An 18,437-nucleotide genomic window follows, 5' to 3' on the forward strand; every position below is an offset into this window, starting at 1 on the left:
CTCATTAAACTTAAATGAAGAAAAATTAAATAGGCCGGGTGCCATGGCTCCCACCTGTAATCCCAGCATTTTGGGAGGCCAAAGTGGGTGGATTGCTTGATGCCAGGAGTTTGAGACCAGCCTGGACAACATGGCAAAACCCCATCTCTACTAAAAACACAAAAATTAGCTGAGTGTGGTGGTGCACACCTGTAGCCTTAGCTACATGGGAGGCTGAGGCATGAGAATTGCTAGAACCCAGGAGGTGGACACTGCAGTGACGTGAGATCATGCCACAGCACTACAGCCTGGGCAACGGGGCGAGACTCCATCTCAAAAAAAAAAAAAAGAAAAGAAAAAGAAAAATTAAATAAAATTTAAAATTCTGCTCCTCAAGTCACACCGGCCACATTTCCAGTGTGGCTCATGGTCAGAGTACTGAAACCCACATAGCACACTTCCATCACTGCAGAAAGTTCTGTGGCCAGCTCTCCCAGCAACAAAGGGGCCAGGTCAGTCTTGGTCACTGCCAGGGTCGAGTACACAGTATATGCTCAATAAATGCTTTCTAAATGAAGAAGTGGGGCGGGTGTGGTGGCTTACACCTGTAATCCCAACACTTTGGGAGGCCGAGGTGGACAGATGACTTGAGCCTGGGTTTTTGAGACCAGCCTGGGCAATATAGTGAGACCCCATCTCACCAAAAAATACCAAAATTAGCCGGGCATGGTGGTGCATGCCTGTAATCCCAGCTACTTGGGAGGCTGAGGCAGGATTGCTTGAGCCCAAGAGGCAGAGGTTGCAGTAAGCTGAAATTGTGCCACTGCACTCCAGCCTGGGTGATAGAACAAGACTCCGTCTCAAAAAAAAAAAAAAAAAAGAAAAGAAAAGAAAGAAAAAGCGGTAAAATATATATAACAAAAAAATTTCCATAAAAAATATAGACATGAAAGAGTGAAGACATCAATGGCTCAGAGGCCTTGCAGAGACTAGAGGTGCTGGCCAATAGCACAGAGGTCAGCAGGTGCCATCTGCAGCCACAGTACCCTGGCCACTCTCACTCCCTGGGCAGCCACGTTAGGGTATCCAAACTCTACATTTCCAACATAGTGACATGGAAAGCCAGAAAGCAAAAGCCACATTGCTGGGCTTTGAACCTGGATCTCCCTGGCTGGCCAGCAAAGCATCCTCTGGGAGCTCTTGCTCCAGCCCCAAGGGCAGAAACTTGGAAAAGGCTTCCAGGCCACAGCCGGAGTCAGCTCTGCAGCGCCAACATGCTGACTCAGCCAAAAGTGGAGGACGGGGGAGGGACAGAATGGCCGGTCCCCCCGCCAGGCCCCATTGCCAGCCTGGGCCCCTGCCAGGCCGTCTCCCACCTTGAGCCAGCGTCAAGTGTATTAAAGTTGTTGCTGTTTTTTTTTTTTTTTTGAGACAGAGTCTCGCTCTGTCACCCAGGCTGGAGTACAGTGGCACCATCTCGGCTCCCTGCACCCTCTGCCTCCCAGGTTCAATCGATTCTCCTGCCTCAGCCTCCCGATTAGCTGGGATTACAGGTGCCCACCACCATGCTTGGCTATTTTTTGTATTTTTAGTAGAGACAGGGTTTCACCATATTGGTCAGGCTGGTCTTGAACTCCTGACCTCAGGTGATCCACTCGCCTCAGCCTCCCAAAGTGCCAGGATTACATGCATGAGCCTCCACACCTGGCTGTAAATGCATTTAATGGATCTGGCCACATCCTCTCTGCAAGATGCCTGCTGGTCTCTCCTTCAAGCGCATCCTCCCCCTCTACACCCACCAGTCCCCAGGAAGGGTGATCACAGTCTCCCCCCAATCCTCCCCTCCTTGCTCATGACTCTGCCATGTCCCAATACCCCCCATTGATTGGATGATGGATGGAGTCTCACTCTGTCGCTCAGGCTGGAGTGTAGCGCGGCAATCTCAGCTCACTGCAACCTCCGCTTCCTGGGTTCAAGTGATTCTCCCACTTCAGCCTCCTGAGTAGCTGGGGTTACAGGTACATGCCACCACACCCAGCTAATTTCTGTATTTTTAGTAGAGACGGGGTTTCACCATGTTGGCAAGGCTGGTCTTGAACTCCTGACCTCAAATGATCCGCCTTGCCTTGGCCCTCCGAAGTGCTAGGATTACAGGTGTGAGCCACCACACTTGGCCCCCCGATTTAATCATTCATGTAGGCTGGGCACGGCCAGCCTTGGGAGGCCAAGGCAGGAGGATCGTTTGAGCCAGAACTTAAGATCAACCTGGGCAACAAAGAGAGACCCCCGTCTCTAAAAAAAATTAAAAATTAGCTGGGCATGGCAGTACATGTCTGTACTCCCAACTACTTGGGAGGCTGAGGCAGGAGGATTGCTTGTGACCAGGAGTTTGAGGTTGCAGGTGAGCTAAGATCCCGCCACTAAACACCAGCTTGGGTGACAGAGGGAGGCCCTGTCTAGAAACAACAACTTTCATGCCACTGTCTCCCGTCTTTTCCTTAAACCAATTTACTTAAGAAACTAATTCAACAGTATCGCATATCTCTAAGGAAGACCCAAAAGATTCTGCCCTGCCTTGAAAGTCACCAGAAACATTGTTACAATGAAAATAGTACCCAGTTATCCCATGGTCGCTGGATACTGTTGCGAACACCAGCAGCCGGATGGGATTTTGTTACAAAGAGATTGGCAGGTGTTAGTGTCTGAGATCACCCTGAATCTCCCTGGGCTTTCTTCCCTGACGTGTTAGGAGCTGAAAGGGAGTCATTGCTGGTGTGTGCAGCTCTGGGCTGCCGGATGCCTCCTCCAGAGGCCACCCCCAAACAGCCCCATGCCTAGGGGTACGTTCCTGACTTCAAAAACCATGGCTCGGCCAGGCGTGGTGGCTCACGCCTGTAATCCCAGCACTTTGGGAGGTTGAGGCGGGCGGATCACGAGGTCAGGAGATCGAGACGATCCTGGCTAACACAGTGAAACCCCATCTCTACTAAAAATACAAAAAAAAAAAAAAAAAAATTAGCCAGGTGTGGTGGCGGGCGCCTGTAGTCCCAGCTACTCGGGAGGCTGAGGCAGGAGAATGGTGTGAACCCAGGAGGCAGAGCTTGCAGTGAGCCGAGATGGCACCACTGCACTCCAGCCTGGGCGACAGAGAGAGACCCCGTCTCAAAAACAAAAACAAAAACAAAAAAAGACAACAACAACAAAAAACCGTGGCTCACAGGAGGCAGGAAGCCCAAGTTCTCTTCCCAAGGGAGCTGTGTGGGCCTGAACCAGTCCTCACCACTCTCTGGGACTCAGTTTCCCCATCTAAGCACCAGGGAAAATGGGCTCTTGGTGCCCGGGGCTGATTTTTGTGGGTCTGAAGTCTGTAAAGATCAAGGAAACCGAGGCACAAACCAGGGAGGTCTCCAAGGCAGGGCTTGGTGTAGCTCCTAATTCCTCCTGGTCCCCGTGCACAAGGGTGGGATCTGGTTTTGGTCACAGCTGAAACTCCAGCACCTACTGTGTGCTAGAGCTGTCTTGAGTGCTGGGGACACAGTACAGATCAAGGCAGATAACCTCTCAGGGCTTCTGTTCTGGGGAGACAGCGACAGATGGGGATAGAGGACAGGGGCAGAGGACACAGCACGTGTAAAGGCCCCGAGGTGGGAACGAACACACTAAGTTCTGGAAAAAGAGAGGGGGACTGGTGCAGAGAGGGGGGCTGGTCCAGAGAGCGGGCAGAGTGAGTGAGCAGGGGCAGGATTTGAGGGGTAATAGGAGTGAGGACCACGGTGGCTCACACCTGGAATCCCAGCACTTTGGGAGACCAAGGCAGGTGGATCACTTGAGGTCAGTAGTTCAAGACCAGCCTGGCCAACATGGTGAAACCCTGTCTCTACTAAAAATACAAAAAATTAGCTGGGTGTGGTGGTATGCGCCTGTAATCCCAGCTACTCAGGAGGCTGAGACAGGAGAATCGCTTGAACCCGGGATACGGAGGTTACTGTGAGCCAAGATCACACCACTGCACTCCAGCCTGGGTGACACAGCGAGACTCTGTCTCAAAAAATAATAATAACAATAAAATAAACAGAAGCGCGGAGGGCTATGGCCCTCCATGCCATGTCAGCATTTGAGGAATGAAAAACTGTCACACCCCAGTAATGATTCGTCTCTCAGCATCCCTCTAGCATTTATAAGGCACCTACTGTATACCAGGCTCTGGGCTGAGCACTAAGGACACAAGATGACTGTGGGAGGCAGACAGGGGGCCCTGGAAGTTAAAGGCCAGGTCTTGGCCAGGCGTGGTAGCTCACACTTGTAATCCTAACACATTGGGAGGCCGAGGCAGGCAGATCACAAGGTCAGGAGTTTGAGACCAGCCTGGCCAACATGGTGAAACCTCCATCTCTACTAAAAAAAATAAGAAATAAAAAAATAAAAATAGCCAGGCGTGGTGGCATATGCCTGTAATCCCAGCTACTTGGGAAGCTGAGGCAGGAGGATCGCTTGAATCCAGGAGGTAGAGGTTGCGAGCTGAGATCACACCATTGCACTCCAGCCTGGGCGAAAAGAAACTCTGTCTCAAAAAAATAAAATAAAAATACAAAAATTAGCCAGGCATGGTGGTGCACGCCTGTAGTCCCAGCTACTCAGGAAGCTAAGGTGAGAGAATCACTTGAACCCGGGAGGTGGAGGTTGCAGTGAGCTGCGATCATGCCACTGCTCTCCTGTCTGGGTGATAGGGGGAGACTCCGTTTCTAAAAACAAAAAGCAAACAAAAAGAGATCAGGGCTGTAATGGGGGATGTCGCAAGGCTTCCAGGAAGAGGTGATGTCTAAGATGAGAAGGATGGGAGAAATTGCGCTGGGCTGGGGCAGGGAGGTTGGGGAGTGGGAAGGGTGTCCCAGGTAGAAGGAACAGCATATGCCAAGGTCTGGAGGCAAGAGAGGTGTGGAAGAGGAAACCTAACTAGCCCTGAACAAAACAGAAAAGGAGAGGGTGGGGACCCTGGGCCAGGTCCCATCCCATGGGAGAGGCAACTGAGGGACATGGGGGGCTGGTGAGGGGGGGTGGGGTGGCAGAACTTCCCACTACCCCCCCAGAGCTCAGGTGGGGGCATGACCTCTCTAGGTGGCTCCCCAAGCTCTCAGGTCCTGGGTAGGAGAAGGTGGTCTCTCTGAACAGGTGTTAGGATCTACACCCAACCCCATCTCCCCAAGACATAAAAACCCCTATCAAGCACTTAGCAGGAGCAAAACACTCAGAACTGAGCTGGGCATACAGCAGGTGCTCAGTGAGCACATCAGCTATTATTCCAGGCTTTTCCCACCATCCAGGCACACTTACTAAATTCTCCTCAGAACAGCTATTATTTGCCGAGCATGGTGGCTCATGCCTGTGATCCCTGCACTTTGGGAGGCTGAGAAAGGAGGACCACTTGAGGCCAGGAGTTGAAGACCAACTTGGGCAACACAGCGAGACCCTGTCTCTACAAAAAAATACAAAAATTAGCCAGGCAGGGTGAGGCATGCCTGTGGTTGTAGCTACTCAGGAGGCTGAAGCAGGAGGATCACTTGAGCCTTGGAGGTCGAGGCTGCAGTGAGCTATAATAGTGCCACTGCACTCCAGCCTGGGTGACAGAGAATGAGACCCTATCTCAGACAAACAAACAAAAAAATCCTTGTGCCTAGAAGCTGGACACGGTGGCTCATGCCTCTAATCCCGGCACTTTGGGAGGCTGAAGTGGTAGGACAGCTTGAGCCCAGGAGTTTGAGGCTGCAGTGAGTGATGATCCTGCCACTGCACTCCAGCCTGGGTGACAGAGGGAGACCCCGTCTCTGAAAAATAAATAAATAAATATATATATATATATATATTTTTTTTTTAAAGGCAAATTCCAATTAGCCGGGCGTGGTGGCAGGCACCTGTGGTCCCAGCTACTTGGGAGGCTGAGGCAGGAGAATGGCGTGAACCCGGAAGGCGGAGGTTGCAGTAAGCCGAGATCGCGCCACTGCACTCCAGCCTGGGCGACAGAGCAAGACTCCGTCTCAAAAAAAAAAAAAAAAAAAAAAAAAAAAAAAGGGCGAATTCCTCATGCCTGGAACAGAGAGAACCAGCAGCACAATAGGTACAAATACTTGAGGAAGGGAGGGAGTCCCTCTAATGCTCCCCTGGAAGCAACCTCTGCCATTACCATCTATCTTTGTGTCTTTTTCTCATGAAGTTATTGATCAAAGGTAACTCTAGAATACAGGGTGATTTTTTTTTTTTTTGAGACGGAGTCTCACTCTGTCACCCAGGCTGGAGTACAGCGGCACAATCTCAGCTCACTGCAACCTCCGCTTCCTGGGTTCCAGTCATTCTCCTGCCTCAGCCTCCCGAGTAGCTGGGATCACAGGCGTGCGCCACCACGCCTGGCTAATTTTTGTATTTTTAGTAGAGACGGGGTTTCACCATGTTGGCCAGGCTGGTCTCATGCTCCTGACCTCAAGTGATACGCTGGCCTCGGCCTCCCAAAGTGCTGGGATTACAGGCATGAACTACCACACCTGGCCCAGGGTGATTTTTTTTTTGTATGTGAAAATGATATTCTGTTCGAATCATGGCTGTTCCTCACATGACTTGTAACTACTGAGCACACGCAGCCCAGGCCTCTTCTCGCCTGTGGTAGGATCTTCCGTGGCAAGGCTGTGCCTTGGGCGTTTATCACCCAATTCCCTGTGGACACTTCGGTTGCCTCCATTTTTTCCCAACCTCACCCAATGCCATGGTGAATCTCCATGCTGACATCTCCCAGGTCCCCTTGGGGAAGCATTTTTGTCTCTCACTGGTGTCCAGTGAAGGGCAGCTGGGGTGGAAGGTCGGGTTACAGCTTGTTCTAAACAAGCAGGTTCCCCTCCTACACAGTCGGAAATGAGTAGGTCCTAATAGTCCCCGAGGAGACAATTGGCTATTATCTTCCGAAGTTAAGTTTATACATTCCCTTTAGGCCTGATAACACCACCTCTAGAAATCTACCCGGCAGACACTTTCCCGTGAAATGACACGTGGAGAAAGTACTCACGGCAAAAGGCTTGAAGCAACCTGAATGTCTATCGATAGGAGATTGGTTAAGTAAAGAACAGTACAAGGGGGCCAGGCACAGTGGCTCACGCCTGCAATCCCAGCACTTTGGGAGGCTGAGGCAGGAAGATCACCTGAGGTCAAGAATTCGAGACCAGCCTGGCCAACATGGCAAAACTCTGTCTCTACTAAAAATACAAAAAAAATTAGCCAGGTGTGGTGGCCGGCACCTGTAATCCCAGCAACTCGGGATGCTGAGGCAGGAGAATTGCTTGAACTCAGGAGGCAGAGGCTATAGTGAGCTGAGATCATGCCATTGCACTCTAGCCTGGCCAATAAAAGCGAAACTCCATTTCAAAAATATAAATACATAAATGAATGAATGAATAAATAAATAAAAATAACAGTACAAGAGGTCAAATAATGATCGAAGAGATTAGTATCTTAGTGTTATGAGATCAGTATCTCTTAGTGTTATGAGATCAGTATCACAGCTGTGAAAAGGAATGAGAATACCAGATGTACAATTATAAAATTACTTTTAAGATACTATATTTTTAAGTGGGGGGGAAGAAAACAAGGTACAGAACAGCATGTAGAAGATGCTGCCATTTGGTTAAACAAGGGAATATAAATCCAGCCGCCTACTAAATGTTCACAGAAGATTTCTAGATAAACTGCGCTCTTCAAAACCGTAGCCACGAGCCGTATGTGGCTGTTTAAATTTAAACGGAATAAAATGGAATAAAATTTAAAATTCAGTTCCTCGGTTGCACTGGACACATTTCAAACGCTCAATAGCCACATTCGGCTCAGGGCGACTGTACCACGGTGCGTAGACGGAGACCATTTTTATCATCGCCATATCGGGGGCCAAATCCGGCCCACCGTTTGTTTTTATAAATAAAGCTTTATTGGCACATAGCCACGCCCACCAGTTTACGTGTTTGTCTATGGCTGCTTTCACGCTCCAATGGCGGGGTTGAGTAGTAGACAGAGATCATCCGGCCGGCAAAGCTGGAAAGATTTACAAGGTGGTCCTTTATGGAAAAACTCTACTGACCCTGTTCTGGGAAGAGACTGCTACTGGGGAAAGAGAGAGGGGAGAGGATCTGGAGATTCTCCACCATGCATTTTTCTCTGCATCCTCAATTGTATCCCATGTGTACGCATTCTCTGGCCAGAACAACATATTAAAAATAAAAGACGTGGTGTCACAGAGATGCCGATTTCTTCTCCTGCCAGCCACGCCCGGAGGGCCTGGTTCCCCTCGACGCTGCCACCCTGGATAATACCACACTTCAAACAGTTTTGCTAAATGGATGGGTGAGAAATGATATCTTGTTTTAATTTGCATCTCCTGGGCAGGAGATGGGAACTCTTTAACTATAGATAAATGCCCGTCTAATCATCCATCGTCCCCCCAGACTCCTTAAGGGCAAGGATTGTCTGCATCAGTCACTATAGTGTCCCCAGTCCCAGCATGGGGCCAAGCAAACAGCTGAAGCCCAGTACATCCACACGGAAGAGAGGGAATCAGGCCCAGGGCAGCAGCCACAGTGCAAGGCCTGGGCTAGTTGTGGCTGGTGGTGAGCATCGAGTGCCAAGCCAAGCTTCACCGACGCAGTCACAGGGGCAGACTCCATGCGGCAGAGGTGGCTGCCAGCCCCTCGGGGAACCTGCAGACTCACGTTCAGCAGTGGGGGAAGAGAGCAGGGTGGGCAGGGACCTGGCAGCCTTGGGGGTAGGGGAACTGTGGGCTCCAGGCGGGGAGAGAGATTATATATTCATCAGAATCTTAAACAAAAGCCCCGCAGCCGCCTGTCAGCCAGGCTATGGCTTTTATGGTAATCAGCAATGAATTACCCACAATGCCTGGCCAAGCGCAAGTGGTTCTTGGCCCGGATCCTAAACTAATTTTTGTATGTTCGTGTGTATATAATTTTGCTCGCTCCCTCCCGTTCCTCTCCCTTCATTACCAGGAGCACGGGTGGGGTACGGGGCAGGGAGGCAAAAGGAACCCTGGGTGTAGAAGTGGAGGATGCTCACCAAGACCCCCTGGCCCTACAGCCTGCCTGGCACTAGGCCCTGGGCTCAGAGTGTGTGGAGGTGGGAGGTGAGTGCCAAGTGGGAACTGAGGGGAGCCTGGAAACCACCAAAAACTGGAGCTGGCAGCTCCGGGGGTGGAGAGAGAAGGGAGGAAGGGGGGGTTGGCTGGCTCTGGTGGTGAGCAGAGTGTGCAGGCCCCTTAGTGGGGTTGAGCCTGTGCCACGTGCTGTGTGGCCTTGGGCAAGTGCCTTAACCTCTCTGGGCTTCAGCCCCCTGGTCTGCAAATTAGACCTCCCTTCCTGTCCTAACCTCTAGCCCCATCCAGCCCCAAGTGTGTAGCCCACAGCCCCTCCCAGGGCCCTGTCTATGCAGGCCACTCTCTAAGTGCTTGACGCATATTAACTCGTTTTGTTGTGCCAGTTATTTATCTCAGATGGGGAAACTGAGGCTGAGGATAGGATGTGCCTTGTCCAGAGCCAATGGCTTGCTTGTAGCACCTGAAAACCCGCTATGGGCTAAGTCAGGAGCTGCCAACTCCATGTCTCCAGGGAGAACCAGCCCACCACTTCCTGGGAACCTCCGCAGGCGTCCTGCTAATGGGGGCGTTTCCATGCCTGCCTCTCTCACCATCTTCGCCACCTCAGCTCATCTTCTCCGTCTTTACCGATGTTCAGGACAGAGGCCTGGGAGTCGTTCTTGACTCATCTCAACCCTACCCTGCAGCCAACCACTTGGAGAAGCCAGCCAACCCTTCTGCAAAATCCTTCTAGAATACAACCCCTCCTCTGCCCCTGCCTGGTCCACCCCCATCATCCCTGGCCTGGATCTGTGCCGTCCCCTCTGCTCTGGTCCCCCAGCGTCTGCACTCATCCCCCACAGTCTGTCCTTTCTGCAACAGCCAGGGGTCGCCTGTGAACACGTCGGTCAGGGCTGGTTCCTCCTTTGCCCATAGCCCTCCCTGGCTCCCACCTCCCTCAGAGTAAACGCCCAAGTCCTCCTGGTGCCCCACAAGGGCCTGCACAACCTGCTCTGTCCTCTCCCTGCTCTCCCCTCCCCTCCTCCCCCTCCTCACTCTGCTCCAGCCACACAGGCCTCCTCGCTGTTCCTCCAACATGCCAGGTGCGGTCCTGCCTCAGGGCCTTTGCACGGGCTGTGCCCTCTGCCTGGAACACCCTCCCCTCAGATGTCAGCAAACATCATTCTCTTATTCCTGTTGGTCTTACTGAAATGTCACCTCTTCTGTGAGGCCTGTCTTGATTCTGTAGCTAAAACAGCCCCTCCCTGCCACCAACCAATTCCTCTAGCTTTTTTCTTTTCTTTTTTTTTTTTTTTTTGAGATGGAGTCTTACTCTATCACCCAGGCTGGACTGCAGTGGCGCAATCTCGGCTCACTACAACCTCCGCTTCCCCCGTTCAAGCAATTCTCCTGCCTCAGCCTACCGAGTAGCTGGGATTACAGGCGCCCACCACCATACCCAGCTAATTTTTGTATTTTTAGTAGAGACAGGGTTTCACCATGTTGGCCAGGCTGGTTTCAAACTCCTGACCTCAAGTGATCTGCCCACCTCGGCCTCCCAAAGTGCTAAAATTGCAGGCATGAGCCACTGCGCCTGGCCAACTTTATTTTTCTTAAAGGCATGGCATACAGTCAATCCTTAACACATATTTAATCTATTGGCTTTATGGCTTTTGTTTTTTGGGTGTTTCTTGTTTTTGTTTTTTGAGGCAGGGTCTCACTCTGTCACCCAGGCTGGAGTGCAGTGACGCAATCTCAGCTCACTGCAGCCTTGAACTCCTCAGCTCAAGTGATCCTCCCACCTCAGCCTCCTGAGTAGCTGGGACTATAGGCTTGTACCACCACACCCGGCTAATTTTTGTATTTTTATTTATTATTATTATTATGAAACCAAGTCTCACTTTGTCTCCAGACTGGCGTGCAGTGGCGTGATCTCACTGCAACCTCTGCCTCCCTGGTTCAAGCGATTCCCCTGCCTCAGCCTCCCGAGTAGCTGGGACTATAGGTGCATGCCACCACGCCCAGCTAATTTTTTTTATTTAAGTAGAGACGGGGTTTTACCCTGTTGGCCAGGATGGTCTCGATCTCCTGACCTCGTGATCCACCTGACTCGGCCTCCCGAAGTGCTGGGATTACAGGCATGAGCCACTGTGCCCAGCCTTTTGTATTTTTAGTAGAGATGAGATTTCACCATGTTGGCCAGGCTGGTCTCGAACTCCTGACCTCAGGCGATCTGCCCGTCTTGGCCTCCTAAAGTGCTGGGATTATAGGCTGAGCCACTGCGCCCGGCCCCTATTTGTTCATTGTCCTTCTGATGCATTCCACGAGGGAAGGGTTTTTCCCTCTGTCTTCTCCGTCACTCTGTTCCCAACACCTGACCCTGTGAGGATCAGGGCCTGGTATATAGGAGGTGCTCAATAAGTATCCAGTGATGGAGCTCTAGGCCCCCAGCAGGGTCCTGGGCCCAGAAAGGACACGACGGTTGTTTTCTGAACACACAGAAGCTTTCCTTGGGGTCTGAAGGAAAATTTTAGACCTGAAACCATCCCCTGGGTGGAGGCTGGGGGTGGGGATATAAGTATCTTGGGAGCAGCCAAGGAAAGAAAAAGAACATTCCTGTCTCATCAAAGCTGTTCAGGGGAGACCCGAGCTCCCTGGCTGGCGGCTGGGGTGGAGATGGCAGATGCTCTCTGCAGGGTAACTGGGCGAGAGGGAGTGAATATTGAAATGTGCATCCCTTGGGCCGGGTGCGGTGGCTCACGCCTGTAATCCCAGCACTTTGGGAGGCTGAGGTGGGTGGATCACGAGGTCAGGAGATCGAGACCATCCTGGCTAACATGGTGAAACCCCGTCTCTACTAAAAATACAAAAAATTAGCCGGGCGGGGTGGCAGGCACCTGTAGTCCCAGCTACTGGGGAGGCTGAGGCAGGAGAATGGCGTGAACCCGGGAGGCGGAGCTTGCAGTGAGCCGAGATCGTGCGCCACTGCATTCCAGCCTGGGAGACACAGCGAGACTCCGTCTCAAAAAAAAAAAAAAGAAAGAAATACGCATCCCACATGACATCTCCTGGTTGTGCGTGAGGCCTGTGTGTGAACGAGCCCTGCAACACATCTCATAGGAAAGCAAAAGAGAGAGACAAATGGGCATGTCCGTCAGGAGGGGCTGGGCATGTAGATGGCATACTACACAGCCCTGAAAAAGAATGCATAGTACGCAGCCCTGAAAAAGACATCCCTGGCTGTGTGCGTCCTGGTACTGTCAGTGAAAGAGCATGGCAGGGACAGCGGGCATAGGATGTGTGGGACGAGAAGGTGAGCACAATATGCCAATATTTGCAAATGCTATAATAATAGCAGCAGGGCCAGGCATGGTGGCTCACACCTGTACCCTAGTGCTTTGGGAGGTTGAGGCAGGAGGATTGCTTGAGCCCAGGAGTTCGAGACCAGCCTGGCCAACATAATGAGACCTTACCTCTACAAAAAAATACAAAAATTAGCCAGGCGTGGTGGCGCATGCCTGTAGTCCCAGCCACTTGAGAGGCCAAGGCAGGAGGACTGCTTGAGCCTAGGAGATGGAGGCGGCAGTGAGCTATGATCACACCACTGCACTTCAGTCTGGGCGACAGAGCAAGACCCTGTCTCTAAAAAAATTAAAAATAAAAATAAAATAATAGCAATAGTAACAATAACTGCTAATATTTATAGGTCACATACTGCGTGCCAGGCATGGTTCAAAGTCTTTTACACATAATATCTCATTGAATTCGAATTGTCTCCATTTTACAGATGAGGCAACTGAGCATCGGAGAGGTCAAGACACTTGTCCAAGGTCACACAGCATGGCGGCAGCAGAGGGGGGACATGAGTCCAGGCTGCTGAGCCCCAAAACCTGGCCTAGGATTTATTTATTTATTTAGACAGAGTCTCACTCTGTCGCCCAGGCTGGAGTGCAGAGGCACGATCTCGGCTGACTGCAACCTCCACCTCCTGGGTTCAAGCGATTCTCCTGCCTCAGCCTCCCAAGTAGCTGGAATAACAGGCGCACGCCACCAACTCCAGCTAATTTTTTTGTATTTTTAGCAGAGACAGGGTTTCACCATGTTGGCCAGGCTGGTCTCAAACTCCTGGCCTCAGGTGATCCGCCCGACTCAGCCTCCCAAAGTGCTGGGATGACAGGCATGAGCCACCGTGCCCGGTCCTGGCCTGGGATTTGGTGACAACGCTCGCTGACAGCCTACGCCTGATCCCTGGTAAAAACAGCAGACGCCTAATAAGTGCCCTGGAGATGCTCAAGGGCAAAGTGAGCAGAGACAGGGGTGTACCCAGGAGGAGATGGTGAGACTTAAGAGAGTGGTCCATTGCACAGGGATGGGTTGGACAATGCTCTCTGGGGAATCCACGCAGTCAGCACACACGCATAGGAAACCGGGTGCTGGGGAGCGAGGCGGCTGGCTCGTCGGAAAACAAATCGCTGCCAGTCTCATTTCCTCCTGTGACAGAGATGGGCAGGCCTGGCCGGGGCCGACGGCTGGCACTGAGCCAGAGTCAACGGGGACCTCCCTACCTGTCTCCGTGTGATGTGTTTATCAAGAGGACGGGAAATGTCACGACCATCAAGGGCAGGCGGCAGGAGGGGCTGGTGTGGGCGCTTCTTAGATGGAGTGGGGAGGGCCTGGCCCAAGGTCAAGGTGGCCCCTGGAGAGCCTTTTCTCCTTCCTGCCTCAGCGGAACCAACCCACCGTTCAATCCATGCTTAAGAAGAAACCCTGCAACGTGGTTCTAAGACCACAGGTTTGCTGGGCACGCAGTGGCTCACACCTGTAATCCCAGCATTTTGGGAGCCTGAGGCAGGCGGACTGCTTGAGCCCAGCAGTTCAAGACCAGCCTGGGCAACACAGCAAGACTCTCTCTCTCTCTCCACAAATAATAATAATAATAATAATAATAATAATAAATAAAAGTAAAAAAATTAGCCAGGCATGGTGGCGTGTGTCTGTAGTCCCAGCTACTCAGTGGGCTAAGGTGGAAGGATCGCTTGAGCCCAGGAGGTCGAGGCTGCAGTGAGCTACAATCACAGCCACTGCATTCCAGCCTGGGCAACAGAGCAAGATCCTGTCTCTATCAATCAATCGAGACCACAGCTTCAGCTGAGTTCAGTGCCAGTCTCTGCTCCTTGAACACTGTGTGACCTTAAGCATGTCATTTCCCTTCCATGAACCTCAGTAAGATAGAGTCGTGACCTCCCTGACTTGGATCAACCTTCTGAGTCATGCTGAGCAGCACGAACTTTGGATTCAAAGCAACCCAGAGTCTGCATCATGATTTGGCCTCCTCTTAGCTGTGCAGCCTCAGGTATAAATGGCTCAATCTCTCTGGATCTGCTTATCTTGTTTGAGCCCCTGGATCCAACTATGCCTGAAGGTGGTCCATTCTAACATCAGCCTTTTTGGTTCAAGAGCCAATCAACTCCCCAGCTTTTCACTAATGTCAGTTTGATGTGGGTTTCTCCACCTTTCTTATTTATTTATTTATTTAAAAAAAAATTTTTTTTTTTTGAAACAGCATTTCACTATGTTGCCCAGGCTGGTCTTGAACTCCTAGGCTCATGTGATCCTCCTGCCTTGGCCTCCCAAAGTGCCTGGGATTACAGGCATGAATCACCACACCCAGCTGTTTCTCCACATTTCAAGTTGTTTCTCCACCTTTCAAGTCCACTTTGTGCCTGAGGACAGAGCCTTGTTAGTAGCCAGGGCAGAGAGCTGAAGATTCGAGACATCACAGGTTATCCCTGCTCAACAGGGGCTTCAGATCAGGGGCTTAGATCAGGGGCTTCAGATGAACCTCAAACCTCTGACCCTTGGATCATTCAGAACGTGGTTGCTGGAAAGCAACACCCACATGGCGTCATTCAGATTTGGGACTGAGGACAGTTCCCACCAACTGAATATCTACCATGATGCATTTAGCGAGCACCTACTATGCACTAGGCCCAGTGCAGGCCACAAAGTGAAACAACTGATGCTTCACAAAGACCTTGTGTGGGAAGCTTTTGCCCATGCTGTTCCATCTGCCTAGAACACACTTCCCTCCCCTCACTGCCCAGTTAACTCCTTCTCTACCTTCACTTCTTAGATCAGCCACCGCCACCTCCTCCAGGAAGCCTTCCCTGACTTTTCCTCCCATCACTCACGCCCAGAGCCTCCCATTCTCTATTCCCCTCCCTTATCAATCTCCAGCAATTTCCATATTTTATTGCAAAAGTAGAAATAAAAAACCCTGCCACTTAAATTGGTCTGAATTTTCTTTTCATGGAGAATTTTTATTTGAAAAGGGTTTTTTTTTTTTTTTTTTTTTTTTTTTTTTGAGACAGAGTCTCACTCCATCACCCAGGCTGGAATGCAGTGACACAATCATGGCTCACCACAGCCTTGACCTCCTGGCCTCAAGCAATTCTCTTGCCTCAGCCTCCCGAGTAGCTGTGGCCACAGGTGTACACCATCATACTTGGCTAATTTTTAAAATTTTTTTCAGAGATGGGGTCTTGCTATGTTGCCCTGCCTGATCTGGAACTCCAGGCCCCAAGCGATCCTCCCACCTCAGCCTCCTGAGTAGCTGGGACAATAGGCAAATGCCATCACACCTGGCTAGTTTTTTGCAGAGATGGCGTCTTGCTATGTTGCCCCACCTGATCTGGAACTCCTGGACCCAAGCAATCCTCCCATTTCAGCCTTCTGAGGAGCTCGGAACACAGGCACACGCCATCACACCTAGCTAATTTTTTTTTTAACTTTTTGCAGAGATGGGGTCTTGCTATGCTGCCCTGCCTGATCTGGAACTCCTGGCCCCAAGCGATCCTCCCACCTCAGCCTCCTGCGTAGCTGGGACCACAGCTGTACGCCATTACACCTAGTTAATTTTTTAAAAAATTTGCACAGATCTGGGGCCGGGGTGGGGGGTGGTCCTATCTTATCCTGCCTAGTCTAGAGCTCCTGGCCTCAAGCGATCCCTCCCACCTCAGCCTCCTCAGTAGCTGGGGCCACAGGCACACACCATCACACCTGGCTAATTTTTAAAATTTTCTGTAGAGACAGGGTCTTGCTATACTACCCCACCTGATGTGGAACTCCTGGCCCCAAGCAATCCTCCAGCCTCGGCCTCCCAAAGTGCTGGGATTACAGATTAGCCACTGTGAGAAAGGGCTTTTTAATACTCTTTTGGACACAGGTTTTGAACACTTTTCTTTCCTGAACTACATACGTAAATGGAAAATGTAAGTCAAATAAATGGTTCATGTTTCCTGAAAAGTCCTGTGTCCCGAGTCCAGCTCTCCTGAATGCCTCTTGCCCCAGATTTGCTGATTGGGTTTTTTTTTCTTTCTTTCTTTTTTCTTTTGAGACGGAGTCTCGCTCTGTCACCGAGGCTGGAGTGTGGTGCTGTGATCTTGGCTCACCGCAACCTCGGCCTCCCGGGTTCAAGCAATTCTCCTGCCTGAGCCTTCCAAGTAGTTGGGACCACAGACTCACGCCACCACGCCCGGCTAATTTTTTTATTTTTAGTAGAGAAGAGTTTTCACCATGTTGGCCAGGCCGGTCTCCAACTCCTGACCTCAACTGATCCACCCGCCTTGGCCTCCCAAAGTGCTGGGATTACAGGCATGAGCCACCGCGCCTGGCCTAATTTTCGTATTTTTAATGGAGGCGGGGTTTCACCAGGTTGGCCAGGCTGGTCTCGAACTCCTGAGCTCAGGTGATCCACCTGCCTCAGTCTCCCAAAGTGCTGGGATTACAGGCATGAGCCACCACACCCGGCTGTGATTTGGGGTTCTGGCACCCGGCTGTGATTTGGGGTTCTGCACACATAGCACTGTTGCTTGCACTCCCAGGCACCGGGGACCTGGCTTCTCCCACGGGCGGCTGCCCCACTGCCCCGGGATTTTCCTCCTAGCCACGCTGAGACGTCTGTTCTGAGGGATCCACGAAGGATACCAACTATAGCTGGGGCTCCTGCTCACCCTCCCATGGCCCAAACATCAGGGTTTGTCAACTCACACTTTGAGGGCTGGAGTGGCCATGGCGGGACATTAGGAAGAACCACTCTACCCAAAACAATGCCTCATGCATAGCAGGCACTGAGAAAATATTACTTGGGTAAACAAATAAATAGCTGAGCCTGGCCAGGCGCAGTGGCTCATGCCTATAATCTCGGCACTTTGGGAGGGAGAGGTGGGTGGATTACTTGAGGTCAAGAGTTCGAGACCAGCCCGGCCAACATGGGGAAACCCCATCTCTAGTAAAAATACAAAAATTAGCCAGGCGTGGTGGCACGCGCCTGTAATCCCAACTACTCGGGAGGCTGAGGCAGGAGAATCACTTGAACCTGGGAGGTGGAGGTTGCAGTGAGTCGAGATTGTGCCACTGCACCCCAGACTGGGAGACAGAGCAAGACTGTCTCAAAAACAAAAAACACAAAACATTGCACAGGAAATGAGCAATCAGAGAGGTTGGGCAATGGCCGCAAAATCACACAGCTAGGAAAGAGGTGACGGCAGGATTTGAATCCAGGACTAACAGAATCCTAGATTTTCCACTGGTCCAGGTGGCTACTGACAGCACAAATTTTCCTAAAATAGGACAGGGCAGGGCAGGGCCCAAGCAAACATCTCAAATAAGAGAACCCAAACTCACATAGATCTTTAAAGTAAGAGGGTGGGGTGTGTGGCCCACCTAGAAATTAGTAAGGGGCCAGGTGCAGTGGTTCATGCCTGTAATCCCAGCACTGAGGCTGAGACAGGTGGATCACCTGCACTCAGGAGTTCGGGACCACCCTGGCCAACATGGTGAAACCCCGTCTCCATTAAAAATATGAAAATTAGGCCAGGCGCAGTGGCTCACGCCTGCAATCCCAGCACGTTGGGATGCCGAGGCGGGCGGACCATGAGGTCAGGAGATCGAGACCATCCTGCTTCACACGGTGAAACCCCGTCTCTACTAAAAATACAAAAAATTAGCTGGGCATGGTGGCAGGTGCCTGTAGTCCCAGCTACTCAGGAGGCTGAGGCAGGAGAGTGACGTGAACCTAGGAGGTGGAGGTTGCAGTGAGCCGAGATCACGCCACTGCACTCCAGCCTAGGCAACAGAGCGAGACTCCGTCTCCAAAAAAAAAAAAAATGAAAATTAGCCAAGTGTGGTGGCGCTTGCCTGTAGTCCCAGCTACTCTAGAGGCTGAGGCAGGAAAATCGCTTGAACCCAGGAGGCGGAGGTTGCAGTGAGCAAGATTGTGCCACTGCATTCCAGCCTGGGCAACAAGGTGAGACTGTCTCAAAAAAAAAAAAAAGAAGAAGAAGAA

The 18,437-nt window shown here is 51.3% G+C and overlaps 1 protein-coding gene across 13 annotated transcripts in view, besides 1 other annotated feature; it reads right to left on the reverse strand.

The window, feature by feature from the left end:
* The window catches only part of PTPRS (protein tyrosine phosphatase receptor type S), a 135,305-nt gene that overhangs the window by 94,419 nt on the left and 22,449 nt on the right, over positions 1–18,437 (reverse strand). The gene's annotated exons all lie outside the window — the stretch shown is intronic.
* Positions 1,294–1,794: an enhancer, noted in NCBI's record as "H3K4me1 hESC enhancer chr19:5301231-5301731 (GRCh37/hg19 assembly coordinates)". NCBI's record gives its function as "activates a minimal SCP1, AML or CMV promoter by ChIP-STARR-seq in naive and primed H9 embryonic stem cells {active_cell/tissue: H9 hESC(naive and primed)}" and the evidence as "EXISTENCE:reporter gene assay evidence [ECO:0000049][PMID:30033119]".

This window comes from Homo sapiens, chromosome 19, assembly GCF_000001405.40.
Source record: "Homo sapiens chromosome 19, GRCh38.p14 Primary Assembly".
Classification (NCBI taxonomy): Eukaryota; Metazoa; Chordata; class Mammalia; order Primates; family Hominidae; genus Homo; species Homo sapiens.